Source organism: Homo sapiens, chromosome 12, assembly GCF_000001405.40.
Source record: "Homo sapiens chromosome 12, GRCh38.p14 Primary Assembly".
NCBI classification, from domain to species: domain Eukaryota; kingdom Metazoa; phylum Chordata; class Mammalia; order Primates; family Hominidae; genus Homo; species Homo sapiens.
The window spans coordinates 94,864,819-94,874,356 of NC_000012.12; the positions used below are offsets into that span (position 1 = coordinate 94,864,819).

The window sequence follows — 9,538 nt, forward strand, 5'->3', positions numbered from 1 at the left end:
AATAGAATAAAGGACAAAAACCACGATTATCTCAACAGATACAGAAAAAGCATTTCATGAAATTCAACCTCTCTTTATGACAAAAACTCTCAACAAATTAGGCACAGAAGGCACATACCCTCAACATAATAAAAGCCATAGATGACAAGCCCTCAGCTACAATCATACTGGAAGGCTTTTATGAATCCCTCAGACTAGGTTAGGAACACCCACTACAGTCCCCCAGTAATTGATCCTTCCTTTGCAACCATATACGCCACAATTCATGGTACTGCTTAACTGTCTTCTCAGAGCCTGCAAAGTCTGCAAGATCAGAGCCATGCAGAGCTTGCTCACCCACAGTGGATTCCTAGCACACAGAAGGAAGTCAATGTTAAAATATGTGTTTGAGGAGTGTCACCACATTACATTTAGTCTACATGCCAACACCTATGAAACAGCTTCAGTTCTTTCCTTCAGCTTGAAGATATGCACAATTCTAAACTCAGAAAGTTACATATTATCTGCAGTATTCATATTTTATTCTCCTGATGCTTTGGTGAATGCTGTCTCTCCCACCAGAGCAGTTGATCAAAAGAAGCAAGAGGTGGCAAGCCTCAAAACTAACCAGCTTGATTTTTGAATCTTTTTTTTAAGCCCCATGTATTTTTCCACAGTGTCTCACCTCAGTTACAAGGGAGGCACGATGCCCAAAATCTTGTCAGAATTAAAATTATTAAAGTAGAAAGCCTTTTGGCAAAAGAATTTAAAGTTCCTATTTTGTGTGTATGCTGGGATTTTCAGCCGAAATCACAGCTGGGTGTACTCAGCCACTGCCAGGGACAGAGGCTGTGTGTAAGTTTACCAGCAGTTTATCTAGAGCAGAAGCTCTCAATTTTAAACTCCCAACCTTCCATCCCATCTTTTTTTTTTTTTTTTTTTTTTTTTTTTTTTTTTTTTTTTTGCATAAATATAAGAGCACAGACTCTGGCGCCAGAATGCCTCATTTAAAATCCCTGCTACATCATTTATTGGCCATGGTATGTTGGGAAAATTACTTAGCATTCAGCATCTAGCTTCCTCACTTGAAAATGGGAATAAAACAGCACCTATTGCATAGGTTTGTTGCGAGGATTAGATGAGTTAATTACATGAAAGGCGCTTAGAGTAAGGGCTGAGTAAATATTAGCTATCCTTATTATTAAACACAGCTGGGGCATAGGAATACATGTGGAGGAGAAGGGATGTGAAACAGAACAGAGAAGACAGCAAAAGTAATCTGCTGTGTAATGATGAGAATGGAGCACTTTCCACAAATTATCACAGACCTCAGGAAAACCTTTCAGTGCAGGTTAACCCGTCCAAGCCACATAGCCAGTAAATAGCCGTGCTGGACTTGAACCCAAACAGTTTGTCTCCAGAGATCCCATCCTGAACCACCAAGAAACACTGTCTCCCATGATCACACTTTCCCCTTTAGGGAAAGGAATTCCTGGGTTGTGAAGTGAAGCAAAAGGACGTGAGGAATGAAAAGAAAGAATGGATAAACAAGAGAAGGCCAGACTCATCTGTTTTTTCCATTTATAAGAGGTAAAATGACAGGTTTCCCTTTATCATCCCTTCACAGTCATGAAAGAGCCCGCTGTCTCTGCAGACACTTGGCTTTGATTTCAGTAGGCCAAGTTGAAATCAAAACCACTGTTAAAGAATTCAAGAGATTGACAGATCCTTTTCAACCCAGCAAGATCCAAATGTGAAATAGAAATGATGGACATGAAGTACAAAGGGTAAGCAGGAGAACAGTGGATGGGGTCATTAGGGACACCGGAATCTCACCTGTGTTTAGAGTGGCAAGACTAGCAGAGGTGCTCTAGAGTCAGAAAGACAAAGGATTCAAATCCTAGTTTGGTTCTGTATTACCAGAAAAATGACTTAACCTCTCCAAGGATCATTTCTTTCATCTGTAAAATGGGGATAAGAACATCTGCCTCTCCATGGATAAACCACTTTGATACAGTTTCCAAGAAACTGGGAGACAGGCACTCACGCTGGTAGATGTGTAAACTGGTTCAATCTCTATGGATGCAGTCTGGTAATACTGCTCTTTTTTCAAACTTGACAAACTTATATAGCGCTTAAAATGTGCCAGGCACTACACCAGGCACTTTACAAATAGTATTTGATTCTTGAGGCACGTTGTAAAAATGGTGGCAATGATTCCCTTCACCGTATCCCTGCATCCCTGACCTTGGGGAGTCTCCTCTTACACAGATTCTGAGCTTGACTCTTGCTTTGGTCAATGGAACAGCAGCAAATGTGACACATGCAGAGGCTTGACAAGTGCTTGAGCTCCGCCCTCCTGGGCTACTCTATGGAACCCTGAGACCACCATGTGAAGTAGCTAGGCTACTGGAGCATGAGAGATTGCATGCTGTCCCAAATGAGTCCCCGATGACCAACACAGCTGTCAAGCACCAGATATGTGAGTGAGGTCATCCTAGACTGCCCAGCCTCCAGCAGACCCACAAGCTGACCACAGAAGCAGAACCAGAAGAGCCACTCAACCAACCCACAGATTTGTGAGCCAAGTAAAACGGTTATTTTTTTAAGCCATGATGATTGGGGGTGATTTGTTGTACAACATAAACTGAGAGAATCCTCATAACAATCCTATTAGGTAGCTACCATTATTATCCCTATTTTGCAAATAAAGCAACTGAGGCAAAGAGGGGTTAAGTGACTTGCACGACATATAAATGGCAGAGCCAAGACTCAACTCCAAGCAATCTGTCTACAGGTCTGTGCTCCTAACTCCTACACTATGTTGCTTTACCTACTAAAAATACAAGTATTCACATCACTTGACCCAGAAATTCCACTGCTATTTATCATACAAATACGCTTGCACATATGCAAAATCATGAATATATAAGATTATTCACTGCATCATTGTTGATAATAGCAAAATACCAGAAAAAAAATTCTAGTGCAGGCATACCTCTTTTTAGTGTACTTCCCTTTATTGAACTTCACAGATATTGTCTCTTTTACTAATTGAAGGCTTGTGGCAACCCTGTGTCCAGCAAGTCTATCTGCACCATTTTCCAACAGTATATGCTCATTTCATGTCTTTGGGACAATTTTGGTAATTCTCCCAATATTTCAAACTTTTTTATTATTACTATATCTGTTATGGTGATTTGTGACCACTGGTCTTTAATGATACTATTGTAATTGTTTCGGGGCACCATGAACCATACTCACATGCAATGGTAAACTTAACTATATAAATGTTGTGCATATCCTGACAGCTCTATCCACCAACACTTCTTCTCTCTCTCTTTCCTTGGGCCTCTCTATTCGGAGACACAACAATATGGAAATTAGGCCAATTAATAACCTTACGATGGCCTCTAAGTATTAAAGTAAATGGAAGAGTTGTCCACCTCTCACTTTAAATCAAAAGCTAGCAATGATTAAACTTAGTGAGGAAGGCATATTGAAAGCTGAGATAGGCCAAAAGCCAGGCCTGTTGCAGTGAATGGTCAGCCAGGTAGTAAACGCAAAGGAAAAGTTCTTGAAGGAAATTAAAAGTGCTACTCCAGTGAACACATGAATAATGAGAAGTCAGTGCCTGGCTTCATGGCTTCAAAAGACAGGCTGACTCTCCTGTTAGGGACTAATGTAGCTGGTGACATTAAGTTGAAGCCAATGCTCCTTTACCATTCTGAAAATCCAAGGAGATTGATGTTGTTTTTGTGCCTGCTAATACAACATCCATTCTTCAGGCCACAGGTCAAGAAGCAATTTCAACTTTCAAGTCTTATTACTTAAGAATACATTTTGTAATGTTATAGCTGCCATAGTGAGCCCCCGATGGCAAAATAAATTGAAAACCTTCTGGAATGGATTCACCATTTTTACATGCCATTAACAACATTCTTAATATGAACATTTACAATATCAACATTAACAGGAGTCTGGAAGATGAGTCCAACTCTTATGAATGACTTTGAGAGGTTCAAGACTTCAGTGGAGGAAGGAACTGCACTGGAAACAGCAAGAGAACCAGAATTAGAAGTGGAGCCTGAAGGTGCGACTGAATTGCTGCGATCTCATAAAATTTGAATGGATGAGGTTTCTTATGAATGAGCAAAGAAGTGGTTCTTGAGATGAAACTACTCCTGGTGAAGATGCTGTGACATTGTTGAAATAACAACAAAGAATCAGAATTTTACATAACTTTAGTTGATAACAGGCAGGATTTGAGAGGATTGACTCCAATTTTGAAAGAAGTTCTACTATAGGGAAAATGCTATCAAACAACATCACATGCTACAGAGAAATCTTTCATGAAAGGAAGAGTCAATCACTGCAGCAAACTTCATTGTTGTTTTAAGAAATTGCCACAGCCACCCCAACCTTCAGCAACCACCCCGCTCTAGTCAGTAAGTAGCCTTCAACACTGAGGCAAGACCCTCCACCAGCAAAAAGATTATGACTCACTGAAAGCTCAGACAATTGCTGGCATTTTTTAGCAATAAAGTATTTTTATTTAAAATATATACAGTGTGCCGCAAGGCGCGGTGGCTCACGCCTGTAATCCCAGCACTTTGGGAGGCCGAGGCGGGCGGATCGCCTGAGGTTAGGAGTTCGAGACCAGCCTGACCGAGGTGGAGAAACCCCATCTCTACTGAAAATACAAAATTAGCCAGGTGTGGTGGTGCATGCCTGTAATCCTAGCTACTCAGGAGGGTGAGGCAGGAGAATTGCTTGAACCCAGGAGGCGGAGATTGCAGTGAGCCGAGATCGCGCCATTGCACTCCAGCCTGGGCAATAAGAGCGAAAATCCACCTCAAAATAAAATAAAATAAAATATATACAGTGTGCTTTTTTAAACAATGCAATTGCATACTAATAGACTACAGTGTAGTATGAACATAACTTTTATATGCACTATGAAACTAAAAAATTGTTTGATTCACTTTATTTAGATATTCACTTTATTGGGATGGTCTGGAATCAAACCTGCAACATCTTCGAGTTATGCCTGCATATTCACATTTACAGCTATAAAGAGAACTTGGGGCTGGGCGCAGTGGCACCACACCTGTAATCCTAGCACTTGGAGAGGCCGATATGGGAGGATTCCTTGAGCTAAGGAGAGTTCAAGACCAATCTGGGCAACAGAGTGAGACCCCTATCTCTACGAATAAAAAAAATTAGCCGGGTGTGATGGCACGTGCCTGTAGTACCAGCTACTCCACAGGCAGAGGTGGAAGGATCACTTGAGCACAGAAAGTTGGGGCTGCAGTGAGGTAGGATTGCGCCACTGCACTTCAGCCTGGGAAACAGAGCAAGACTCTGTCTCAAAAAAAAAAAAAAATATATATATATATATATATATATATATAAAGAGAACTTCATAAATCTATAAATACCAATCTTGTATGAGAGAAAAATGCGTGGTGAAGAAGAGTATACTTATATGCTACCATTTGTGCTTTTAAAAATGAAAAGCATGAATATATAACTGCTTATATATGCATAGATTATTTCTAGAGGGACAGAAGAGATGAGTTAACAGCAATTGCTTCTAGGAAAGGGAACTAGCTGTCTGGGCAACAGAATAGGAAGGCTTATTTTCATTGTAAGCTTTTGATAGCTTTTAAATTTTATACTATGTAAATGTATCACCTATTAATTTTTAACTTAAAAGGTTGTTATGAAAATGAAGGAAGCCAGTAGATGCGTGGCACAAAGAAAATAATCAATAAATAGTAGCTACCAGCCTGGACAACATAGTGAGATCTCGTCTCTACAGGAAATTAAAAAATGAGGCAGGAGGATCGCTTAAGCCCAGGAAGTAGAGGCTGCAGTGAGCCGTGATGGTGCCACCGTCCTGCCACCTGGGTGACAGAGCAAAACTCTGCCTCAAAAAAAAAAAAAAAAAAAAAAAAAGTAGCTACCATTATAATTATTCTCCCACAACTGCTTTCTAACTTTTTCTAACACAAATAATTTTTTAAAGCAACCAATCCTCTGTAACTCCTGGCTTGCATGGAAAGAGTTCATTTTGGATTCAAAAATAATGAAGGAAATAGGAAGGAGCCATGTGAAGACGTGAAAGAAGACCCAACCATGGGGTTCTCTGGTGTTCAAAGCCCTGGACAGCATGGTATGCACAACATTAGCCGTTTGTCAGAGTCCATTTGGGCTGCTACAATCAAATCCCATAGACTGGGTGACTTATAAACAACAAAAATGCATTTCTCACAGTTCAGGAGGCTGGAAAGTCCAAGATCACAGCCCCAGCAGATTCAGCGTCTGGTGAGGGCCCAAGTTCTGGTTCAGAGATAGTGTCTTCTCACATCATGGAAGGGACAAGGAAGCTCTCTGAGGCCTCCTTTATAAGGTTCTGCCCTTGTAACCTGATCACCTCCCAAAGACCCACCTCTTAATACCATCACCTTGAGGGTTAGGATTTCAACATATGAACTGCGGGGACAACAAACATTCAGACCACAGCTTCTCTCTTCAGAGCAACCCAAATACTGGGCATCTTCTGTGCTCCTACTCTGTACATTCCCTACACACCTTCTCTTTCATTCAAGGACACCAAAGGAAAGTAATTACTTTTGATTATAATAGTGTGTCTGCACACTCTCTCTCTGCAGTTACTGATCTGCCACAGTTGAAGGGCTGCCACATGCATCTGCCAAACTGCCAAATTATATGCTTCTCCAGAACCAGACAGGGTCTGGGGCAGAAACAAAAAGTTTGTAGGCAACAGAGTGTAATGTCAAGAGCCAGGGCTTTGGAGTCCAGCAAACCTGGGCACAAATCCTGCTCTATTTTCCTCATAGCACTCATCACTATCTGAAACTACATTATTTGTACCTTTGTTTACTACTTTATTATCTGATTTCTCAGTTTGAATGCGGCCTCCAAGAGAACAAGGCTTTTGTATGTCATGTTCCTCACAGTATTCCTAGAGCTCAGAACAGCGCCTGCACATAGTAGGTGCTTAATACACGTCTTATGGAGGTGGGGGCTGAGTATTTAAAATGCAGATTGCCAAGCTCCAGTTTCAGAGATTCTAACTCATTAGGTTTGAAACAAAGCCTAGGAATCTGCATTTGCAGCAAGCATCCACCTCTTTCATCCTAAGGCAGGTAGTAGGCAGATCACATGTTAAGATACTCTGGTCAATGCCCTCCATCTCCAAATCGTGATTCTCCCTCTAACACGCATTTCTACGGATCCCATCCAGGCTCTTTTCTTTAATTACCCTGAGGCACTGAGAGTAAAAGGAGGTTGCTGACCCCTGAATTTGGAGTTCAAACAAGTAACCTCACCACGGCCAGTTTCCATTTCTGCTGCATGCCAAACTAGCTGGCCAGCCTGGCTGGAATCCTGTTCTCCCCAGAAACACCTGAGCAGGTCTGGACTAGCTCCAAAAGTATAAGCCAGGTAAATTTCCGTGTCAGCTCATTGAGAGACTTTCCAGGGGCAGCTGGGGCCAATTCACATTTGCTCTATACTCCCTCCAAAGACACCCCCTTCAACACACACACACAGAACACTTAATTCTGGTACCACCAGCCAAAAGGGGCCCGAGTTCCCTTGGGAGCAGCCCAGCCGCTGAGAGGCGGAAATCTCTGAAAGGGCCACTCAGATGACCAAAGCAATAGGCGCCTACGTACCTTACAACAAGCCAACCTCAAGTTCCAACCTAGAGAAATGCATGGACTCTGGTGGGAGAGTCTTATTCCGTTTTTGTTTTCTTCTTTTTTTTTGTTTTGTTTTGTTTTGGTTTGGTTTTCTTCCATTTCTTCTCAGCCTTGTCTCTTCAGAAAATACCCCTCCACCCCTTCCTTGGCGCGTAAACTGTCTTCAGGGTGGCCTTAGGAGTTCTGGGACAATGTGGAGGGTACCCAATAGGATTTCCTTAAGTTTCCTCTACTGCTTTTCCACACATATTAATGCTGAGATCCTGTATTTGATTAAAGCACCTTCCATTTCCAAAGTTAAAATACAAACGGGTCTGGTAACTTACAAAGTCGCCAGCATCTTCGTGTCAATTAACTTCCCCAGACAAGTAAGAACGAGCTGCACTAGGGCCTGCGCTCTCTCCGGGGCTAACAACAAGCAGCACCAGTCCCCCAAGCTGTCCCTGGAGGTGGAAGAGCCACTGCAGCTGAGCCTGTTTATTTTTCGTTTTTCCACAGGCAGCCTTGGCTGGAGGGTGGGGGTGAGCGCGGGCTCCCTGGCACCTGCCGGTAAAGCAGCAGCCGCAGCCCCCGAGGGCGCCCCAGGCCAGGAGCTGCGCGCCGTCGGCGGGCCGTGCCTGGAGGAGGCTCGCGCCTTCCAAATGCCGGAGTGCAGGCATCCTTCCTCTCCCCAACCCCAGCCCCGGCCTCGACCTGTCGCCCACCTGGCCCGGACCTGGGGCTGGCTCCGTCTCTGGGGTGTGCGCCAAGGGAGCCCCACCGACGCCCAGCAGAGCTGCCCGGGCTCCCAAAGAAGGACCGGGGCTTTGGGCAGAATTCTGGCAGCCAGGCGGGCGTCAGGGGAGCCGGAGAAGGGGCTCGCCAGCAGGCGTGGGGCGGAGTGCCGGGCGCAGCCCACCTCGCAAGCGCGGGCCCAGGGCTCCGACGTGCCAGCGCAGCCCCGAAGAGTGCGGGCCCGGGGTCCCCGCGGCGCCCCTTCCCCTCCTCAGTCCCCCGGGGGCGACCGCGCTCCCCGCCGAGGTCCGTCCCCGCCGCACCCTCACTATTCCCGCTGGGAGGACCCCGGCGCACGCCCCCGCCCCCGCACCCCGGGGCGACGGCGCACTCACCCTCCGCATGGTGTCTGGGCCGTCCGGGCGGGGCTCGGCGACTTGGGCGCGAGAAGGGCTGGGCCGGCGGCGACGCTCGGCCGGCCGGGAGCTCCGCGCTGCCCCCTCCTGCACACGCCTGCGCCGCGGCCGCCAAGCCGGCGGGGGCGGGGCGGGGTAGCGCTGGCCGCGGGGTCCCCGGGGCTCTCCCGGGCTGCGGCGGAGGCGCGGAGCCGGCCAAGGGCGCACTGAGCTCGCGGAGCTCCGGGGCCCCGGGGCCTTTCTGCCGCCGTCGCAGCGTCCCCGCCTCCTCGGGCCGCTTCGCCCCTCTCCTCTTCCTCGAGTTCTGGCCCCACCAGGAGCGGAGCGAGTCTCCGATGCCTGCCCCGCGGCCCCCAGAACTGAGCTGGAGAAGCTTTGGGGTGAAAGCTGGGCCCACCCTACAGGGACCCCAAGTTTGCGGAGCAAGAGTGGATTGGCGGAGAGCGCAGATGGCAATTCTCACCCGCCTTAAAAGTACCACCTTAAAATTCTCCCCATGGGATGGGAAGGTGGCCCGCTAATGTCCGTTCCTACTCTTCGTTTTCTTTTTAATTTTTCAGACAGGGTCTCGCTCTGTCCCCCAGGCTGAGCGCAGGGGCGCGATTTCGGCTCACTGCAGCCTTGCGATTCTCCCAGGCTCAAGCGATCCTCCCGCCTCAGCCTTCCCAGTAGCTGGGACCACAGGCGAGTGCTCCA

The 9,538-nt window shown here is 46.1% G+C and overlaps 4 annotated features.

The window, feature by feature from the left end:
• Positions 6,133–6,202: an enhancer, noted in NCBI's record as "active region_6803". NCBI's record gives its function as "activates an Ori minimal core promoter by ATAC-STARR-seq in GM12878 lymphoblastoid cells {active_cell/tissue: GM12878}" and the evidence as "EXISTENCE:reporter gene assay evidence [ECO:0000049][PMID:35858748]".
• Positions 8,317–8,436: a silencer, noted in NCBI's record as "silent region_4732". NCBI's record gives its function as "represses an Ori minimal core promoter by ATAC-STARR-seq in GM12878 lymphoblastoid cells {active_cell/tissue: GM12878}" and the evidence as "EXISTENCE:reporter gene assay evidence [ECO:0000049][PMID:35858748]".
• Positions 8,497–9,106: a silencer, noted in NCBI's record as "silent region_4733". NCBI's record gives its function as "represses an Ori minimal core promoter by ATAC-STARR-seq in GM12878 lymphoblastoid cells {active_cell/tissue: GM12878}" and the evidence as "EXISTENCE:reporter gene assay evidence [ECO:0000049][PMID:35858748]".
• Positions 9,117–9,216: a silencer, noted in NCBI's record as "silent region_4734". NCBI's record gives its function as "represses an Ori minimal core promoter by ATAC-STARR-seq in GM12878 lymphoblastoid cells {active_cell/tissue: GM12878}" and the evidence as "EXISTENCE:reporter gene assay evidence [ECO:0000049][PMID:35858748]".